A 21,541-nucleotide genomic window follows, 5' to 3' on the forward strand; every position below is an offset into this window, starting at 1 on the left:
TAGCCTCATCATAGTGTCCCAGTGTGCGCTCACCTAGCCTCATCATAGTGTTCCAGTGTGCGCTCACCTAGCCTCATCATAGTGTTCCAGTGTGCACGCATACGGCCTCATCATAGTGTCCCAGTGTGCAATCACCTGGCCTCATCATAGTGCCCCAGTGAGCACTCACCTAGCCTCAGCATAGTGCCCCAGTGTGCACTCAACCGGCCTCATCATAGTGTCCCAGTGTGCGCTCACCTAGCCTCAACATAGTGCCCTAGTGTCCCCTCACCTAGCCTCATCATAGTGTCCCAGTGTGCGCTCACCTGGCCTCATCATAGTGTCCCAGTGTGCACTCACCCGGCCTCATCATAGTGTCCCAGTGTGCACTGAGCTAGCGTCATCATAGTGCCCCAGTGTACACTCATCTAGCCTTATCATAGTTTCCCAGTGTGCACTCACCTAGCCTCAACATAGTGCCCCAGTGTGCGTTGATCTGACCTCATTATAGTGCCCCAGTGTGCAATCACCTAGCCTCATCATGTCCCAGTGTGCACTCACCTGCCCTCATCATAGTACCGCAGTATCCACTCACCTAGCCTCATCATAGTGTCACAGTGTGCACTCACCGAGCCTCATAGTGCCCCAGCGTGCACTCACCTAGCCTCATCATAGTGTCCCAGTGTGCACTCACCGAGCCTCATCATACCGCCCCAGTGTGCACTCAGCTAGCCTCATCATAGTGCCCCAGTGTACGCTCACCCGGCCTCATCATAGTGCCGCAGTGTGCACTCACCTAGCCTCACCATAGTGTCGCAGTGTGCACTCACCCGGCCTCATCATAGTGCCCCAGGGTGCACTCACCTAGCCTCATCATAGTGTCCCAGTGTGCGCTCACCTGGCCTCATCTTACTGTCCCAGTGTGCGCTCACCTGGCCTCATCTTACTGTCACAGTGTGCGCTCACCTAGCTTCATCATAATGCCCCAGTGTGAACTCAACTAGCCTCATCATAGTGCCACAGTGTGCACTCACCTGGCCTCATCATAGTGTCCCAGTGTGCACTCACCTAGCCTCATCATAGTGTCCCACTGTGCGCTCACCCGGCATCATCATAGTGCCCCAGTGTGCGCTCACCCGGCCTCATCATAGTGCCTCAGTGTGCGCTCACCTAGCCTCATCATAGTGTCCCAGTGTCCGCTCACCTAGCCTCATCATAGTGTCCCAGTGTGCACTCACCTGGCCTCATCATAGGGTCCCAGTATGCACTCACCTGGCCTCATCAAAGTGTCCCAGTGTGTGCTCACCCGGCCTCATCATAGTGTCCCAGTGTGCGCTCACCTGGCCTCATCATAGTGTCCCACTGTGCGCTCACCCGGCCTCATCATAGTGCCTCAGTGTGCCCTCACCTGGCCTCATCATAGTGTCGCAGAGTGTGCTCACCTGGCCTCATCATAGTGTCCCAGTGTGCGCTCATCCGGCATCATCATAGTGTCCCAGTGTGCGCTCACCTGGCCTCATCATAGTGCCCCAGTGTGCGCTCACCTGGCCTCATCATAGTGCCTCAGTGTACGCTCACCGGGCCTTATTACAGTGTCCAGTGTGCGCTCACCTGGCCTCATCATAGTGCCCCAGTCTGCGCTCACCTGGCCTCATCATAGTGCCCCAGTGTGCACTCACCTAGACTCATCATAGTACCCCAGTGTGCAGTCATCTGGCGTCATCATAGTGCCCCAGTGTTCGCTCACCTAGCCTCATCATAGTGTCCCAGTGTGCGCTCACCTAACCCCATCATAGTGCCCCAGTGTGCTCTCACCTAGCCACATCACAGTGTCCCAGTGTGCATTCACCTAGCCCCATCATAGTGTCCCAATGTGCGCTCACCTGGCCTCATCATAGTGTCCCCGTGTGTGCTCACCCGGCCTCATCACAGTGACCCACTGTGCGCTCACCTGGCCTAATCATAGTGTCCCAGTGTGCGCTCACGTGGCCTCATCAGAGCGCCCCAGTGTGCGCTCACCTAGCCTCATCACAGTGCCCCAGTGTGCACTCCCCTAGCCTCATCACAGTGCCCCAGTGTGCGCTCACCTGGCCTCATCACAGTGTCCCAGTGTGCGCTCACCTGGCCTCATCACAGTGTCCCAGTGTCCGCTCACCTGGCCTCATCATAGTGCCCCAGTGTGCGCTCACCTAGCCTCATAGTGTCTCAGTGTGCACTCACCCGGCCTCGTCATAGTGCCGCAGTGTGCGCTCACCCGGCCTCATCATAGAGCCCCAGTGTGCGCTCACCCGGCCTCATCATTGTGTCCCAGTGTGCGCTCACCCGGCCTCATCATAGTGTCCCTGTGTGCGCTCACCCGGCCTCATCATAGTGTCCCAGTGTGCGCTCACCTGGCCTCATCATAGTGCCCCAGTGTGCACTCACCTGGCCTCATCATAGTGTCCCAGTGTGCGCTCACCTGGCCTCATCATAGTGTCGCAGTGTGCACTCACCTGGCCTCATCATAGTGTCCCAGTGTGCACTCACCTGGCCTCATCATAGTGTCCCAGCATGCATTCCCATGATCATGTACACAGCTGATTTAGGAGACTACAAACCCAAAGTAAATGTTCATCTTTTTTTCCAGAATTAAGTTATTGTGATAAAATTGGTGCTATCTTAATTATAATCAAATAATAAAATACCATAGTTGAAAGTAATCGATGAACACAAACTGAACAGTCAAGCCGTGCTTGTTGGCCAGGGTGGGCCGGGGAGCAGGGTAGATACTGAACTGGCACTGATTTCTCCCCATTGTCAATGCTGGGCAAACTTACCTGCCTTGGTCTAACAAGACATCTTCTGCTACCTCTCCTTCTTTAGATCCTCTGGTTAAATGATATAACAGTGTGTAAAATACACATGTGTTTATATTTAATGTTATTATATGCATTCTATGTGAAATGAAATTCCAGAATAATTATGAATAAACAAACAGTAAAACCAAAATACTTTAAAGAAACCGAAGTTTCACTTTAAGCATTTTAAACATGTTCCCTTTTAGGCCAGCAGATGTAGCTGCGAATTAAAATAGGAACCGCAAGCACTTTCATCAAGCTGCTCTAGGTTAACCATTAGATGGCACCCTTTTGTATTGGAACTGGGTTTCTATCAGAGATTCAATTCAATTCGAGCTAGCTACTTACAATTATTTAACGCTGGAGTTGATTTTATCTAGAATGATCATCTCAGTTATTTATTGAGTGCATAGACTTGGACCATTTCTGTTTAACATTTTCTGACTGAGACTGTTTTCTTAGTCATACAAAGATGAGACAGTACACAGTGACAGAAGTTCTTACTGGACTCAGGGTAACCTCATAATTATCAAAACTCTCTAAACGTTGAGCTGAATATACCACATTGCTGTCTGCAAGCCTCAGAGCAGGGTCATACCATAAGAATTTGCTTAGAAAGTCAACAGGTAAGGTTTACCCCTTTACAGGGTAGCGCTGTCTTAGCACAGTGCTTGGCTCAGGAGAGACCCACAAATGACTTTAGAATGAACAAACCAGCAAATTAGTAAACACTACCGCCTTTAAAAGATATGACCTTGAAAAGGTATCAGTGAGTTCATTTTTCTGTGGGCCTTCTCAAACATGGAGATCAAACTGATATGCCTAATGATCTATATGCAGAGAGAGTGCATATGCAGTCTCTCTTTTTACTTAGACATAAAGATGTCAGGAACTCTCTTTCTTTGTGGTCCCAGCACCTAACCCAATCCCAGGTACCCAGCAGAGGCTGAGTAGATATTTCCTACTTATCACTGGATGACATAAAGATGCAATATAAAAGGATTCCACATATTCTTATATTCAGTAGTGCCAACCAGAAAATATTTTTTCTCCCCAAAATATCTTATTTAGGCAGCAATCCTTGTATCAATGCCAAAAAACAAAGAAGTTCACATTCTACCCATCTTCAGTGCTGGGCAAACGTATCTGCTTTGTTTGGTAACAAGATAGCTCCCAATACCTCTCCTTCTTTGGAACCTCTGATTAAATGATATACCACTGTGTGAAATAGAAATGTATGTTTGTATTTAATGTATGTGTTCTATGTGAAATGAAATTCCATAATAATTATGAATAAAAAATTGGATTATTCTAGCACAGTTGGATTATTCTAGCCCATAAACACTGAATTATCAAGTGTATAATTTAGATAACCTAATTTTGTTGGTTTATGAAAACTGGGATTGACTCTTCTAAGTGAGACTATTTGTATTTTCAAATACCTTAAAATTTTACTAAGTTTGTGACCCACATTACTAAACACTGGAAACATCACATATCAGTTCCACACAGTTCATGTAAAGTGCTAGCAGACTGTCATTTTTATAGAAACTAGAAGCTTAATAACTTTATTACTAAGTACTACTTAATAATCTGAAGATTCAGACCTGGGTTTAAATCTTGACACTGCCAATCACATGTTATGTCATCTTGGGCAAGTGATTTAACCTCTTTGAGCCCCAATTTCCTCATTTATAAAATGGGGGATATTAATATCTGCTAGATAGTTATTATGAAGATTAAATAATCTGCTATGTCTAAAATGTCTGTAGAATGCCTAAAATGGAAGAAGAGATTTTATATTGGTCGAAAGCAAAATTGAGGTTAACAGCAAAAATCATGAAAAATCTTCAGTCACAGGTTTTCTGTCTTTTCAAGCAATCTCTAATTTAGCATTACAAACAATGATTAGCCAGCAAAGTTAACTCAAAAATCAAGGTGAGGGCCAGGTGCAGTGGCTCACACCTTTAATCCCAGCACTTCGGGAGGCTGAGGCAGAAGATCGCTTGAGTCCAGGAGTTCGCAACCAGCCTGGGCAACATAATGAGACCTCATCTCTACAAAAAATAAAAAAAATGAGCCAGGCATAGTGACATGCATCTGTGGTCCCAGCTACACAGGAGGCTGAGGTGGGAAGGTTGCTCGAGCCCAGGAGGCTGCAGTGAGCTGAGGTCACACCACTGCACTCCATCCTGGGTGACAGAGGAAGACCTTGTCTCCAAAGAGTCGAAAATAAAAATAAATTTTAAAAACAAAGGTTAGACTAGGAGAAAAGCACCATCATCTGTCTATCAGTGTATTCTGAGTGGAAAGCACAGTAATGTTTATGTTTGTTTACGATTAAACTAAATATGAAAAGCTCAATAATGTCTATGAGGTTGTTCCTGCAACCCTGCCAACTTGCCCCAGTTTCTTCCTCCCTGCTGAATCATTCCCATCAGCATATACATGCTGTTAATTCTCCCAATGTAAAATATAACAAGTAAAAACTTATCTCTTGATCCCATTCTTTTTTCCAGCTATGACCCCATTTCCTTCCTTCACTTTGTGGCAAAACTCAAGACTCACCTAGATATACTGCCTCTGATTCTCCTCTATTCTCTTTTGAATCACTCAGGCTTCACTCCACCATTTCACCAATGGCTGTCACACTGCCAAACCGGGTGAATCATCAGTCCTCATCTTACGTAACTTATCACCAGCATACAACACAGTCAGTCACTTCTCCTTGAAGTGTTTTCTTCACCGGGTGTCCAAGTCACCAGGCCAAGGAGATTTCCCTCTTCAGTAGGGTACTTTCCCCTCATTCCCCAACCTCTTAACATTAGGAGTCCCCAAGAGTTCCTTCCTCAGACCTCTTCTCTTTTCTTTCAACCTTCACTGCCTTGGTGAGTTAATCTAGTCTCACAGCTTTAAATGCTAGCCATATACTGATGAGTCTCAAATTCAAATCTTCACCTTGTACTTCTCCCCTAACTCTCAACTTCTATATCTAACTGCTTACTTGCTCTCCATCTCACTATCAAACGGATGTGTCAACCTCACAAGTCAGATTGAGCTCCTGACATTATCTCCCAATACCTCCTTTTCTCACACTGCTCCCCACCCATCCTTCAGTTGCTCAGGCCAAAAGTCTTGATGACATCCAACTTCACTCTTTCTCACACCCCACATCCAATCAACAACAAATCTTTGCTGACTTGACCTTCAAAATATATCGACATCTGTTTTCATCAACTTTACCGCTGCCACCTATCTCAAACTACTGCCAATTCTCACCAGTCACGAAGGGTCCGGTCCACAGAACTTCCAACCAGTTGTTTAAAAAAAGAAGGCAGTCATTCTTAATGTAATGCTCTGTAGCTTGAAGTATAAATTTTACATATATACACAAACACAGACACAGACACACAAGATTTTAGGATTTTTTCCAAAAATGTGTAAATAACACATTAGTAATTTAAATAATTAATTTTAAAATGCTTTAACTTTTACAAAGATTATATATATATGTCAAACAGCAATAGAAAGTTGTTCCAAATTAATAATTTTATTGAACAAATCGCTAATGTCAATTTGTTTATTTATTCTACTTTGTTTTTGAGACAGGGTCTTACCCCGCTGCCAAGGCTGAAGCGCAATGATCTTGGCACACTGCAGCCTCAGCCTGTGAGGCTCAGGTGATCCTCCTCCCTCAGCCTTCTGAGTAGCTAGGACTATAGGCGCATGCCACCACACCCAGCTAATTTTTTTATAGAGACAGGGTTTCTTTACATTGCCCAGGCTGGTTTTGGACTTCAGAGCTCAAGTGATTTGCCTGCCGCAGGCTCCCAAGGTGCTGGGATTACAGGCATAACCCACTGCACTCGCCCTAATGTCAATTTATATAGAACATTAGCTATAAATTAGTCATTACTTAATTATATTTGAAGTTTTACCACCTTCAAAAATTGTATTTATTAGTAATAAGAAGTTGTCTAGTTATTTGTAAGAATTTAGTCACGTACTCTGTCATCATCTCCCTAGACAGTGACCAAACTACATGCAAATAAATTTGAAAACCAGAAAAATTTAGAACACAGTAAGCAGAATAAACATGTAGATACCAGGGACAAGACAGTAGTTACTTACACTGTGAACTCCTAAAGCTTTCCAGACTGCGAAGCTAATCACACCAACCCCACACCATGCATACAGGGAGCCCCAGCCCAGAGCTCGCAAGGCAAGGGAAGACCCGCTTTCCGGTAATGCAGCCGTGGCCATACTTCCCTGAAATGAAACAGAAAAGTTGAGGTAAAAACAATCAGTGCAGAAAGAATAAGCATTCTGGGGGTGTTTGCAAATTCCTCTCTGTGCAAACAACATGATATTAGGAAGCTAAATCAACCCAAGGTCTAATTCTGGCTTTGCTACTTAATAATTGCATGCCTTCTCTGACTCACAGATATTTGAGTATGCAAGGCACCTTGCCTGTTAATTCTTCCAGAAAAATCCTAGACCATTTTGTCAAGATTTCTCTATCCCCCATTCATTGGCATTTTCACAGAATGACATTAAAGTGGTATTAAAATAACTCAGTTATTTTATGAATGTTTTTCCTGCCATAATATTAAGATGAGCAAGGGCACCAGATATTTCAGATAAGTAAACTTTGCATGTGTGTAAACATTATGTACTTTCTTCAGTTATTTTAACCAAATAGACATATAATACATGTTATTTTCTCTCATAGCACCTCATTTAGTCTACCGATTATGAGACTGATGTATAAATGCAGGATAGACTAGTTAACAAAAATGTTGATCTATTTTAATAGATCGACCAAAGAAGCTCAAGAGTAAATTACTTCGCCACTTTTAGCTTGCACCTTCCTCTTTCTGTTTATTCAGGGAACTACAAAGAAAAATGAATGTCCATTCAGCATCTATTATTGCTTTTCAACTCCCAGTTGTTTTGCATGACACACAGCTAAGAAAATGAGAACAGGACATTAAAAGGATAACTATCATCCCAAAATAAAAGCAGTGTAGGCAGTCCCCAACTGAAAAGTTTATCATTTTAATGTCCTCTGGGGTTGCAATTTGAATCTGTTTTAATACCTAGAATCCCAGGCTAATGGATAGAAGTCTGTTTAAATAGCAAGATTACTAAAAATTGTATCATTTCTTCCCTAGAAGTATCCCAAGATGGGAAGAGTACCATGTTGGGCAAGTTGCTTAATTCATCTGTGCCTCAGTTTCCTGCCCTTTAATGGGGACCACACATAACGGTGCTGCATAGGGTGTGAGGAGAGTTCAATGAGTCAAGCCCGCAGAAGAACAGCCAGCACATGCTAAGCACTCAAATATTAGATATTATCAATGTTAGAAAAGACCTCCAGGTGGCAACTGTGAAGTGCACTGACTAAGTGAGATTCTTAGACTGGTGCTTGCTCAGTATAAACGCATTAACTGTGTGCTCCAAAATCTCTGAGTTCTTCTACAAACAATTTTACCTCTGAAACAGAGTCTGGGTAAGTGGTCATACTCTAATTCCAGTGTTTTCCCAGAGGGAGACAGAACCATCTAAAACAGGGGTTCTCAAACTACCTGGTCTCAGGATCCCTTTACACTTGGGCCCTAAAGACTTTCAATTAAGTGGGTTGTATTTATCAATATTTAATGTATTAGAAATTAAAACTATGAAATTCTTAAATTATATTAGTCATTTAAAAATAGTAAATCATTTTAGATTAATATAAGCCTATTTTTTATGAAAAATTACTTTTCCAAAACAAAACTGTGCAAAGAGAGACAATGTTTTACATTTTTGTTAGTCTTTTATTTATTTATATTTTTTGAGATGGAGTCTCGCTCTGTCACCCAGGCTGGAGTGTAGTGGCGTGATCTCAGCTCACTGCAACCTCCACCTTCCAGGTTCAAGCAATTCTTGTGCCTCAGCCTCCCAAGTAGCTGGGATTACAGGTGCATGCCACCATGCCCAGCTAATTTTTGTATTTTTAGTAGAGATGGGGTTTCACCGTGTTGCCCAGGCTGGTCTCAAACTCCTGGCCTAAAGTGATCCGCCTCCCTCAGCCTCCCAAAGTGCTGGGATAAAAGTTTTCTAAAATCTAATTTTCACTTGAAAGCTTGAATTTTATCAGTGGCAATAAATACTGACAATTGTTTGCTTGAAAAGACAAGCTCATTTTATTCATTGTTAAGATGTCTGCCAAATATTCTTTCAAGTAAAAATGATATTCTATAGGAAAAAAGTGGCTAGTTCAGCTTGCAATTCAATTGCTTTTCTAGAGAAAAAATCCTACTTCAGTATAAAATAGAAATGCTTTATGTATTTATTTCCCATTTCTTTTTTTTTTTTTCTTTTTTTTTTTTTTGAGACGGAGTCTCGCTCTGTCACCCAGGCTGGAGTGCAGTGGCGAAATCTCGGCTTACTGCAAGCTCCGCCTCCCGGGTTCACGCCATTCTCCTGCCTCAGCCTCCCGAGTAGCTGGGACTACAGGCACCCGCCACCCGCCCAGTTAATTCTTTTGTATTTTTAGTAGAGACGGGGTTTCATCGTGTTAGCAAGGATGGTCTCAGTCTCCTGACCTCATGATCCGCCCGCCTTGGCCTCCCTAAGTGCTGGGATTACAAGCGTGAGCCACCTCGCCCGGCCTTGTATTTCCCATTTCTTTACACAGAATATTAAAATGAGGTTTATTTGAAGGTCATGATTTAATAAAATTAACTATTTTATTTCTTCAACAAGGACACTGTTAAGTAATACTGGCTTTAAAAAATACAGGTACTTTGTAATGAAGGACACAAGGACTTTCACAGTTTGGTGCTACTGCCTTAGACCAAGGTATCAGCAGTTTTACTCTCCATTGCCTCTGTACCATTAGTACAAGCATCTTAGTATCATTATGAAAATAGTTCTGACTTCATGGACCCAAGGATCAAGGATCAGCAGGGTTCTGTGGACTGCAGTTTGAAAACCACTGTTAGACCCCGAAGAGCATCTGTGATGATCAAATCTCAGAATAACAAAATAGGATGGAAAGTTGTGATATGTGTACGTGCGCTCTTCAGCCCCAGAGAATCCCTAGTTTTCATCAGATTATTAAAAAGATCAGTGAGCCAAGGATTAACATAACTTAGGCTTAGAAATCAACCAAAACTCTACTGTTAAGGCACTACTCTGATTTCCACCACAAAATATATTTCTGCTCTGAAAACATTCTATAACATAGAGAGAAAATGACCCACAAGGTCCATAGCAGTGATTTAGGAAGCTCCATATAAGCTTAGAGCATTCAGAGGGGATCCAAGCACACTTTAAACATGGTCTCTTGCCATTATGGTATCGATAAGGCTTAAGTATGATTATTAAAGATAAATGTAAGTGGAAAGGAAACTTGACTTTTTATGATGTTTTACGTAACACTTTTCCTCCATAGCACACATCAAATTGTAATTACACAGTTATTTGTGTGAATATTTATTTATTTATTTTTGAGACAGAGTCTCGCTCTGTCACCCAGGTTGAAGTGCAGTGGTGTTATCTGGGCTCACTACAACCTCAGCCTCCTGGGTTCAAGTGATTCTCCTGCCTCAGCCTCCCGAGTAGCTAGGACTACAGGAGTGCCACACCACACCTGGCTCATTTTTGTATTTTTAGTAGAGATGGGTTTTCGCCATGTTGGCCAGGCTGGTCTCAAACTCCTGACCTCAGGTGATCTGCCCCTCTCGGCTTCCCAAAGTGCTGGGATTACAGGCATGAACCACGATGCCTGGCCCAAATTTAGATTCAAAGTCATGTTGTGAATAGGAAATGTACCAGATAAGCTTTCAAAGTCTTGTTCCGCTAAAATTTAAGAAAGCACATAAGTACATCCTTCTAAATGAAAATAAAGACTTGGTTAATTTGTACATTTCTAGAATCCATGAGCGTATATAAATTCACATCTTAAAGCAATGTGAAAGACCATCAATATTTTATTTTTTCTACGCAAAAGCTGCCATATATTGTAAACAATAACAATGCTATGAATGGATTTCAGTGTCACCAACCTTATTGAACCATTCAGGGCTTTTCTTTTTAGCCAATGATAATGTTGTAATAAATCCAGCTAGCATTCCCGCTGCAGCAACGGTACCAAGGAAAATTCCACCTGCCAAGAGTTTCGGGGAGGAGGGGGGATATTAAAAAAAATTAAATAAAAAGAGGTTAAAAAGATGTACAAAAGTAAGTTTAAGATACTATTCGAGTTACAATCAAAATCACTTTTGAAATTCAAGAAACCATGGCTAAGCAGCTCTTGCTAACAGTAAATGACAGCGGCTGAGAAACACGCGTGACCGCACGACCTCTGGTTCCTTGGGTCATTCCGAATTATTATTCCCGAGCGCAGAGAAAAGGTTCAGCTTCCCTTCCCCTCTCCCCTGGGACCACAGCGTGAAGTTTCTCACGGGGAGGAGAAGAGACGATGGCAATCAGAAAAGGCAAGGCTCTAGAACAATTGCAGAGGTGACGGGGAAATATGGCACGCCCGGGAGAATAGCTCGCGGGATCTGCCCCCCGCCCCGCCCAAGGGGAGACTCCACCCAGTAAGCGACCTACCCTCCCTGGGCCGCCAGACTCCGCGGGCTAAACTCAGGGGCAAGCACAAGCTAAGGGCTCTCAGAGCGGGATGTGTGTGGGAATGCCCGCTCCAGAGCAAGCCAGGGTCCGGGGTTAACTCACCCCGACGCCCGCACCTCACCACAGCACATCTTACCTTTAACCAGGAAAAGCCGGTCATTCGTGGACCCCGGAGCCTCCAGCCCAGAGGCCGGCTGCCCAGTTGCAGCGCCCGCTGTCTCCATGTTTAGGTCGCCTCTAGTGCGTCCGTCCCCAACTGGGCCCGGGTGGAAGCGAGAACCAGGCGGAGGAGAAAGGTTCCGCTACCGCCTCCTCCTGTGCAATCTGAAGAAGGGTCCGGAGTGCGGCCGCTGTCCCCAAACCCTCCTCCCGCGCCGGGGCCGGGAAGACGTGCTGTGCCCAGCCCCAGGGGCGATGCCCTCCAAGGCCGTCTCTTAGGGAGGATCTTTTGATTTCTCCAAGGAGATCATTGCTGGACTTAAGTGATTACTTTGGCTGTTTGAAAGAACGCTCAGCCCCGACTGTAGGAGGCAGTGAGGGTCGCAGATTGCGCCAAGATTCCAGGCCCCGCCTGTGAGACCCTGGAGCTCATTTTCCTGATCAAGCTTACATTGTGTCCAACGATTTGGCCAGCGCTAACACTCCACGATTCTAAAACGCAAGCCTAGGTCTTCTGTCTGTACTTTTCTAGGTAACTTCCCAACAGTGTTGAGGAATAAGTGACAGGCTTTCTCCCTGGAGGAGAGCCAGCCACCCGGTTCTGCGGTGACGGGTACCTCCGCCGCGGTGTGAGTGCTCGGCCTCCGTCGGGAAGTGGAACACTCACAGGATGACCGAATGAAAGTACCACCCCCGAAAGGAGAGCGACGCCCGCTGGAAGCGCTTGCAGAGCTGCCGGCAACGTTGACCGCTAGCAAGCTTGGTCTTCCGCTGGGAGGCTGGTTTGCCCATTCTGTAAATGGCCGTGGAGAGGAGGAGGCTAGTGGTGATAGAAAATCTTTTCAGCCTCTCAGAGAACAATGACATCTTGTAAAATAAGGCGGTCTCTCTGCTATTTGTCCTGCCCCCCATCACCGGAGGGCATGAGTTTCCTGAGGATGGAGATGGGACTCTATGTTCAGTTTATATCCCCCAGCTTTCAGATATTAACTGGTTACCAACATCAAATGCATGTTGGATGAATGAGTAAATGAATGCATCCATTTTTGCGTCAGTGAAGTGCAGTTAATAGCTCAAACCTGGGCTCGGGTCCTAAACCGCTTCTCAGGTGTGTGAACTTGGGGTAACTTAGCCCCTCTATAGCTCAGTTTCCTCACCTGTAAAATTTAAAAACTGGTAGTAGGCCAGGCGCGGTGGTTCACGCCTGTAATCCCAGCACTTTGGGAGGCTGAGGCAGGTGGAGATCAGAAGTTCGAGATCAGCCTGGCCAACATGGTGAAACCCCGTTTCTACTAAAAATACAAAAATTAGCGGAGTCTAATGATGCGGGACTGTAATCCCAGCTACTCGGGAGGCTGAGGCAGGAGAATGGCTTGAACCTGGGAGGGAGAGGTTGCAGTGAGCCGAGATCGAGCCGTTGCACTCCAGCCTGGATGACAAGAGTGAAACTCTGCCATCCACCCCATCCCGCCCCCCCCACACACAAAAACTGATAGTACCTAACTCATAGGATTACTGTGAGAATTAAATGAAGCAACATCTATAAAGAAGTTAGCACAGTGCCTGGCACATATAAATATTCAATACATGTTAGCTCTAACTATTACCACCTTTGATTCCAGTAGCTATTTTGCAGCATTGCCTATGGGGATTTTTAAAAATGATGGATTATCAAGGTCTATCTACCACGGGAGATTAGAGCTCTGAAGGCCCGCGGGTGGCAGGGCAGAATGTAAAAGCTCCGTGGGGTTTCTGATGATAAAAAACTACTGCTCTGTTCAAATTTTTGTGTGGATGAGATCACACAGAATGTATGTGACCTTTGGATTTCCTGGAAACACGTCAGTATCTGAAAGGGCTTTTAAGCTGGTAAATGCTGTGCTAATTTGTTGAAGGACCTATCCTTTTTCCTTCCCCTCATACATAACAGTAACCATAGCTGCTAACATGTATTGAGTGCTTTCTATATATCTGACATTGCACTAAGTGCTTCAAGTACATTATCTCATTTATTCCTCTCCATAAACTCAGAAAGACTAACTTGCTCAAGCTCACACAGCTGTTAAGTGGCAGAGACAGGGCTTAAAAGCAGGTCCTTCCTTATCCACTGTGCCAGTCGTCCTCAAGTGTGAACTTGAATATTGGAATCACCTGGAAGGCTTATTGCACTCAGCTTGCTGGGCCCCATTCCCAGAGTCTGTGACTCAGTGGGGGCTGAGAACGTGTATGTCTAAGTTCCCAGGTGATGCTGTTGCCACGGATTCCACTTCGAGAACATCTTCTGTGTGCCTTCCTCTTATGGATTACACCTCTTAAAATCCACACCATACACTTTAGCACTTGGAAATCTGTTTTCCCAAGACTGCTTAGGGAGAAAAAGTGCAGATTCCTCCACTCTCTTCTTTGCTGTCCCCTTAGAAAACGACAGAAACATTTTAAGGATTAAGCTGGGCACAGTGGCTCAAACCTGTAATCCTAGTGCTTTGGGAGGTCGAGGCAGGCAGATCACTTGAGGTCAGGAGTTTGAGACCAGCCTGGCTAACATGGCGAAACCCCATCTCTACTAAAAATATAAAAATTAGCTGGGTGTGGTGGCGGCGCCTGTAATTTCAGCTACTTGGGAGGCTGAGGCAGGAGAATCGCTTCAACCCAGGAGGCAGAGGTTGCAGTGAGCCAAGATCATGCCACTGCACTCCAGCCTGGGTGACAGAGCAAGACTCCGTCTCAAGATGATGATGATGATGATGATAATAATAATAATAATAATTTAAGGTTTATATCACTGCTTACTATAAGGAACAGAAGGGAGATAATAGATCTTGTAATCTAGGGAAATTACAGAGTCCTGCATTCCAGAGCTGGTCTCCATTGAAAGTAACTGCACATCCTAGGAAACTGGTGTCTGCTTTGTTTTGGATGTTGCAGCTCACAAACCTCTATCTTCTTTCTAAATCCCCAAAGTAAAAGGCAATCTTCCTTTTTTCTACTTGAAAGCTTGTTTTCCCAATATACACAGGACTGAAAAGGCAATTGACACAAACCAATGGTTTACACTTCAGCCTCAAAATTTGCATTTTGAGGATCTTTGTGGGATACATACCAAGGAGAGGAGGAGGTGCGAGCTCCTTGGTCAAGGCCTGTTTGTGGAGACTACTACAGCCCCATTTCTCACTAGCCCCCAGCACCTGCCCTGTGACTTGCTTGGTGCCAGATCCTGGGAGATGGTGTTTCCAGAGCCTCAGAAGCCTGCCACACACTGGGACGGGAAGTCCCTGGCCCTGGGATAAGACCAAATTCCAGGCATCCCAAGTTGGAATGCTGAAAGAAAGCATTTTTTAAAGACAATGTTTCCCAAGGTCTCATATCTCTACAGGACACCCAGTTGGGTACTTTGGGTACAATTTGATTAATTGCACTGCTCTAAGAATTCCACAATTCCACCTAGACTTGTTACTAGAGGAAGATATGACACAAGCTCCAAACAGGTGAGTTGTAGACATTCTAAGCACAGTTTCTTTGCAAGATGGGGACTTGAGCAGGGAAGCATTTCCAAGTGTGGAAACCAGAGATTAGAAAGTCACAGAGCTTTGTTGCTTCACGCAGCACCAGCAGGACTGATATTTCAATGGAAGCACAGTACTCTTCTAGAAAAAGTAATGGAAATCTCTTACAAGCCAAGGAGGCTGCTGGGAAAGCAGGTTTATCTGAGACGGATGCTGTTGCTATTTCGGTATTTGTTTTAGTCAGCTGAAAGTTCATACCAGGGACACATTTGACCACATTCTTATTTCAAACGTTTTGGCTCCTGTAGATTCTATTTCAAATGTTGACAGCTAGAAACTTGTTAGCTTTACCGTTCCTGGAATTTGGATGGCCCTAGCTCTAGCTTGTTTTGAACTCTGATGGACTCTTTTCCCCGTCACTTTTTAAAACATTTCTTCAGAGCTTCAATCTCTCCATGTTTAATGTATGAGGCTGAATTATTTTTAAAATCTGATAAGGGTCAAATCATCCTTCCTGCTGCTTGATATAAGATAGTTGTCAAAAATATAGGCCATGTGTGGTGGCTCATGCCTGTAATCCCAGCACTCTGGGAGGCTGAGGCAGGCAGATCACCTGAGGTCAGGAATTTGAGACCAGCCTGACCAACATGGTGAAACCCCATCTCTACTAAAAATACAAAAATTAGCTGGCTGTGGTGGCAGGCACCTGTAATCCCAGCTACTCAGGAGGCTGAGGCATGAGAATTGCTTGAACCCGGGAGACAGAGGTTGCAGTGAGCCGAGATCATGCCATTGCACTCCAGCCTGGGTGACTGAGCAAGACTCTATCTCAAAAAAAAAAAAAACATATATATACATATAGATATGTAATTTTTTGAAAGATATATATAATTTTTTTGAGATACATATATATGTATCTCAATATATATATATATATATCAGAGATCTTTAAAAGTTATTGCCAGCTTAAGTGTGTGCACAGAAGAAAAGATCTGGACTCAACACTGAATTATTAACAGAGGTTACTTTGACAGGAGGGAGGAGGTGAGTGTTCTATCTATATCTCTTCTACTTTCTGCCTTAGTAAGTAAAATGCTGACCAAAGCCACATTTTTACATATTTCTATAATGTTTGCAAAATGTTTAATAAGGGACATGTATTACTTTTGTGAGAAGGGAAAAAATGGAAGGAAAACAATAAAATACTTTAAAAATGTATCGCCTTGTTTAAAAGATGAATTTTGGTTTAAATAGAAATATTATATAGGTTTTCAGGGTAACTCATCAAACTCTCCAGCAGGATACCCAGCGATAACATTCTTGGAAAGCAAGGGAATGAGAGCAAGATGCATTATGTCACAAGGAGAAGCTCTGGGCTGGCATGAGAGCCCACGTGGTATCTGCACCCTCCAGTTTGCTGCTCTCAGCCTCTTGAATTCTTCCCAGTATCTGCTCTGAATCCCCAGAGCTACAGCTCCTTCGAAATGGCATTAGTACAATCAATAGAAATGGTAAGTATGGTAATAACTCCTCTTGAGTGAGCTGAAACTAGCTTGAGTCCAAAGCTTGAGTCTCATTACTCATTTCCGGTATCTCATTACTAATCTTTTAGAATCATATTCTGTAACTGCCTCAGGTTGAATAATATGTCTGTCTTTATCACAGTAAATGAGAGTTGCCATTATATATTCCTCCATTCAATTTTTCTTATTGTAGAGTATATCTTTCCTATCTCTTTCTGTGCTATCAGTTGAATTGTTATCATTAATGATAGACTAGAAATCTTTTCAAGAGCTGTTATATTTCATAAGCCACTAGATATTATCTTATAAAAGAGTGATGCATATAATTTCCTTTAACTATGTTTCTCTATCTTCTTGTGAGGATCAAATAGGATCACAGATGTTCAAGCATTTTGTAAACTGTTGAGTATTCTGGCAATGTAAAGCATTGTTATTTTTAGTCCTGTGTGTGTCCCAGTTATAGAAAAGACTCTTAGCATTCCCAAAAGCCAAATATATTTCCATCTATGCATTATCATTTTGCCAGTATTTCATATACAAGGACATATGTTACACTCCCATTTACTATTAAAATCTGTGATATCAACCACTTGCATCATTAAATACATCTTATGTTTATTGTATTTATTGTTAATAATCTATACCATTCTGATATATTAAAGGCTATAAATTATAAAATGATTTAAAAACAAGTATTATCACATGTATGATGAAAGAGTGACCACATAAAGTAGTAAGACCTTTTCTGACCAAATACTGTGTTTCGATTGACTTTATTTTTTATTGACACAGCAAGTATTTACTGAGCACCTCTATGGTCTTAAGCGCTGTTTTACTATAGCGAAGTAATGAGGCACAGTCCTTGGCTCATTGGAGCTTATAGTTCCATAACCCTTAATTTTCTAAGAAATTTCATCAAAATATCTTTTTGCTTGAATCTTTGCAGTTGATATTCTTTCTTGGTCTTCTACTTTCTGCCTTAATAAGTAAAATATGGTTTACTTCTTGCTTAAAAAGTATGCAGTGCTTTAAGTCACTTCTCTGAATATCAACTGTTACTGTAAATGTGGATATAGAGGGCTTAAGAGGTTGGTCTGCATATGTACCAAACCCAGACTGTCCTGGCTTGGAATTCAGAGGGGGCCTGTGGAGAAGGGACTAGTTCCTACAAGTGGGCTCAGCAACTGAGGCCCAGACAAAAAACTCAAAAGCAAGAGGCACATGTCCCTGGGGGACAAAGCTCATGCCAGGGGGTGATGGCAAGAGAGTTTTTCAGTCCAGGTGACCTAGTTGTGAGATGAAGTAGAAGGATTTTTAAGTAGGTAACAGGGCATCCTGGAATCCAGGGCAGGGAGAGAGTTCAGAACTTTAGGCAGGAAGGCTAGTGTCACCAAGAAATTTGTCCATGGGTAGCAGAGTTGAAGCCCCTAGGCAGAACTGAAGACCTAGAGATGGTAACTGGTAATTGCACAAGACACAAACCCAGCTAAAATAGCAAGGAAATGAAAAAGAGACCATTGTTCAGGAGCCCGGTTATCAGACTTGGATCACTGTAATAGAGTCAGACATACTCTGATGTTGAGTCAGCAAGGCAAATTGAGAGGCTCAGGCCCAGAAGTACATGCTGATTCAGGTCAAGATGAAGGCTGGGTCTGCAGGTAGGAATGGGAGTTCAGCCTTACAGGGGTGGGGGGCTCAAGGAGAGGGAGGGAAAGAAACAGGGATCTTGCCTTTAGTTGTGCAACTTGTTCATTTGCATGAGGGCCTCCATCTTGGGGGACATGGAACAGGATGGAACAGGTCAGGTCAGGAATCCAGCCTGCATTTTGCTCACCAAAGCCTTGCGCTCTGGTGCTGGAATCCAGCAGCCCTGGGGAAGGTGCACCTTTTCTGGTTCACACACACACACACAAAAGTACCACATGGGCTAATATTGGCTTTGGAAACCTTGTATTCAGAGGCTAGAAACTAATTTAAAATATCCCAACTGCTAGGAGTATATCTCATATCTCAAGTGTATTAAGTCAGAAAAAAAAAATTTACAGGCTTCCAAAGTACCCAACGCTGCAGTCTCAGAAACCATGGTATGGTTAAAGAAGTGAGAAAATGTGTGTAGATTCAAAGTGCCTTTAGGATTCAGAGAATGGGGCAGATAAATATTGCTTCTGAGGGGTGCAAGCATGCTCAAGCTACTTGAATTTACATTATTTTGGAAAAATATATACACGACCCTTGGACACATTTTTATAATTTTGTCCTCACCAACTATTCCTCTCTGCATTGCAAGAGAATTGTCTACAGTTACTTCCCATTGGGTAGTATACTTATATTTTAGGAACACTTTATTGGGATTTCACCCCTTTGATTTACTCTTGCTTATAAAAGTAATAACCTCTTAGAATGTGATTATACAGCCTGATAAAATATTTACTATCTAGTAAATTACGTATCATTTAGATGATAGTGTTTTATTTAGGTCAACTGTTCAGGGCCCAATGCCCTTTTAAAACAGTCAAAGCATTTGATGGATTCATTGCTGAGTGCACTATAAATAAATGCTACCTCAAATTCCAGACAGTGAGCATGTGCTAGGGGGTACATCAGAGCTGCTGTTAACAATGCCTCTTTCAAGGTGATAGAAAGAGCCTGGACTTGTCAGTTGTCTGGAAGCCAGGGTCTAGTTTCCAGCTCTGTCAGTGACGAGGAAGGATTGTCTCCATGTTTCTTTTTTCTTTTTTTTGAGATGGAGTTTTGCTCTTTGTTGCCCAGGCTGGAGTGCAGTGGCGTGATCTCGGCTCACTGCAACCTCTGCCTCCTGGGTTTAAGCAATTCTCCTGTCTCAGCCTCCCAAGTAGCTGGGATTACAGGTGCGTGCCACCACACCAGGGTAATTTTTGTATTTTTAGTAGAGATGGGGTTTCACCATGTTGGCCAGACTGGTCATAAACTCTTGACCTCAGGTGATCCGTGCCTTGGCCTCCCAACCATGTTTCTTAATATGGGCTTCATTTCCTTCCTCTGTAAAGTGAGGAAGGGATTGAATATATCTGCACTTTGTCCAAGTATGTTTCACAGCATGCCAGTTCCAGAAGCTGTTAGGTGTTACCTGGACCAAAAACCAAAAAAACAGATTCTGTGATCAAAGAAGTTTGGAAAACAAAACCTCACAGAATTCTTTGCTTCAGAGCCTCTCAGAGTCTTCAAGAGGAGGGCACGGTAAGCTTTGATTCTGTAACTTATTTGACCAACAACTCTTTGTTTAGGAACATCTTGTGGGCTCATATATCTTAGAATATAGACTGAGAAAATACTGAACTACTTGGTCACTAGGATTCTTCCTAGTTCCCAAACTCTATGCTTCTAGTTCAGTTTGGAGAAATGAGACTGTTCCCTTTAGAGGACAGAGAGCAATGCCCCCTCTCTCTTGCAGCTCATGGTAAGATCTAAAAGTTAGTGATGTCTCCACTCTGCAATTTGTCTGAACCAGAAGAGTGGTCAAAATAGCAAAGACCAGATTTCATGATGGGGTTGAAGCTTTCCTTCTACTTAAGCCAAACATAATATCTCACTTTCCCATGTCAAATTTAGAGCTTTTCTTCACATTCTAAGAGAGAAGGAGAGATATTTGCTAGGGGAAAAAGCCAAAATGTTCATGAATAATCTACTTCATTCCAATCAATTAGGAAGAAAAACGCAGTCCGCAAAGCACATTCTGAATTGGTATAGTTGAGAGACCAAAATAGACTGGCACACAGTAGAATTAGATTTACTATTTCAAGCCCTGCTATATATTTATCCTTATTTGGTTGTCTTTTGCAGAGTTGCATGACTATGGAAATGAGAGTGACCTTGGGTCATGTAGCTGATCATCTTGTATCCAAGAAGTATTTCTCTCAAGTTCTCCTAATTACAGATTCAGCAGCGGGTCTATTGTGACTCCTGATTTTAGAGTGCATTCTACCTGACACGCAGTTTCTCTTACAGTAACCAGGTACCCATTGTGCTGTGATTGTGGTAGTAGCATGGACTGGAGAAATTTGATGATGTGTTGAATGCTAGTCATTTCCTCAGAAAAATGGCCAGGCGTGGTTCCATTTGCAGGGGTGGCTGTGTTTCATCTCACATCATCCACTTACCCTGGCCAAAGCGAGTTGAACCAGAGTCACCACCAGACCCAAAGACAGCCATGTATAGGCCAGCAGCTCTGCCTAGTGGGAACCACATTTATCAATGGTCCACCCAATCTGCAACACATGATGTCCTGATGACTTCCTCTCTCCTGGCACTCTGTCTGCTCTTCCCTCTCCTAACGCCCTCGCAGCCATCCTTCAAGGTACTATCCAGGCTTGCTTTCTCTGGCTCCCACACTGTCTTTCACGGGGATATCATGAAAGCCCTTATGGTGTCTTTGCTAGAATTGGGAAAACACACCCCTCTCATGTAAAATAGTCTTATTTAATGCATTAACCTCATTGCACACCTGCACACGCAGCAGCCTGTGAAGTACATGCCACTCTCATAACCACATGTGCCACTCACATCGTCTAGAAGCAAAAGCCCATAGGGTACCGTGAGCTGAGTGGCTGGTGGTACTTCCTAATATTACTAACATAACGATTCTCTCTGAAACCCCAGCCTCGCCCCAGCCCACTGTGTGTTCCACTCCAGGAGTCAGATCTGATTCTAGGTCCTGGTTTTTTCCTGTGTGCGCTGCTCTGTTGTAGTGGCTGCACCCATAGCTGACCACATCACAGATGGGTCACATGGAGCTCTGGACAATACTCTTCCCCAGCTGATCTTTGACAAGGTCCTTCCTTTCATCCCTTTATCAATAAGATTGGTTACGTTTGAAGCTGATTGACCACCTATGCCTAAAGAAGAGTGATTTATGTATCACCTGGAAGGAGACACCCGA

At 43.5% G+C, this 21,541-nt stretch overlaps 1 protein-coding gene and 2 long non-coding RNA genes across 3 annotated transcripts in view, besides 5 other annotated features; 2 read left to right on the forward strand and 1 right to left on the reverse strand.

Annotated features, from left to right (window-relative positions):
* Positions 1–11,685, reverse strand: part of TMEM242 (transmembrane protein 242) — a 34,495-nt gene extending 22,810 nt beyond the window's left edge. The window contains exons 1-3 of the mRNA NM_018452.6: positions 11,578–11,685; positions 10,871–10,971; positions 6,948–7,085 (exon numbers count right to left, since the gene is read on the reverse strand). Of these exons, the coding sequence (NP_060922.2) occupies positions 6,948–7,085; positions 10,871–10,971; positions 11,578–11,665 (327 nt within the window). The 5' untranslated portion in view covers positions 11,666–11,685. The remainder of the gene's footprint in view (positions 1–6,947; positions 7,086–10,870; positions 10,972–11,577) is intronic.
* Positions 795–1,787: an enhancer, noted in NCBI's record as "OCT4-H3K27ac-H3K4me1 hESC enhancer chr6:157733661-157734653 (GRCh37/hg19 assembly coordinates)". NCBI's record gives its function as "activates a minimal SCP1, AML or CMV promoter by ChIP-STARR-seq in naive and primed H9 embryonic stem cells {active_cell/tissue: H9 hESC(naive and primed)}" and the evidence as "EXISTENCE:reporter gene assay evidence [ECO:0000049][PMID:30033119]".
* Positions 962–1,257: a silencer, noted in NCBI's record as "tiled region #9813; HepG2 Repressive non-DNase unmatched - State 25:Art, and K562 Repressive non-DNase unmatched - State 25:Art". NCBI's record gives its function as "represses a minimal TATA promoter and a strong SV40 promoter by Sharpr-MPRA in HepG2 and K562 cells {active_cell/tissue: HepG2 | K562}" and the evidence as "EXISTENCE:reporter gene assay evidence [ECO:0000049][PMID:27701403]".
* Positions 1,788–2,779: an enhancer, noted in NCBI's record as "H3K27ac-H3K4me1 hESC enhancer chr6:157734654-157735645 (GRCh37/hg19 assembly coordinates)". NCBI's record gives its function as "activates a minimal SCP1, AML or CMV promoter by ChIP-STARR-seq in naive and primed H9 embryonic stem cells {active_cell/tissue: H9 hESC(naive and primed)}" and the evidence as "EXISTENCE:reporter gene assay evidence [ECO:0000049][PMID:30033119]".
* Positions 11,448–11,787: an enhancer, noted in NCBI's record as "active region_25329". NCBI's record gives its function as "activates an Ori minimal core promoter by ATAC-STARR-seq in GM12878 lymphoblastoid cells {active_cell/tissue: GM12878}" and the evidence as "EXISTENCE:reporter gene assay evidence [ECO:0000049][PMID:35858748]".
* On the forward strand, positions 11,800–12,643 carry TMEM242-DT (TMEM242 divergent transcript). The gene has a single exon (NR_187268.1). It is a non-coding gene; the product is annotated as a TMEM242 divergent transcript (long non-coding RNA).
* Positions 11,968–12,397: an enhancer, noted in NCBI's record as "active region_25330". NCBI's record gives its function as "activates an Ori minimal core promoter by ATAC-STARR-seq in GM12878 lymphoblastoid cells {active_cell/tissue: GM12878}" and the evidence as "EXISTENCE:reporter gene assay evidence [ECO:0000049][PMID:35858748]".
* Positions 12,644–14,396: 1,753 nt separating the features above from the next.
* On the forward strand, positions 14,397–21,116 carry LOC105378076 (uncharacterized). The gene is made up of 3 exons (XR_943165.2): positions 14,397–15,085; positions 16,404–16,614; positions 20,446–21,116. It is a non-coding gene; the product is annotated as an uncharacterized LOC105378076 (long non-coding RNA).
* The last annotated feature ends 425 nt before the right edge of the window (positions 21,117–21,541 follow it).

The sequence above is a fragment of the Homo sapiens genome, chromosome 6 (assembly GCF_000001405.40).
Source record: "Homo sapiens chromosome 6, GRCh38.p14 Primary Assembly".
Taxonomy (NCBI): Eukaryota; Metazoa; Chordata; class Mammalia; order Primates; family Hominidae; genus Homo; species Homo sapiens.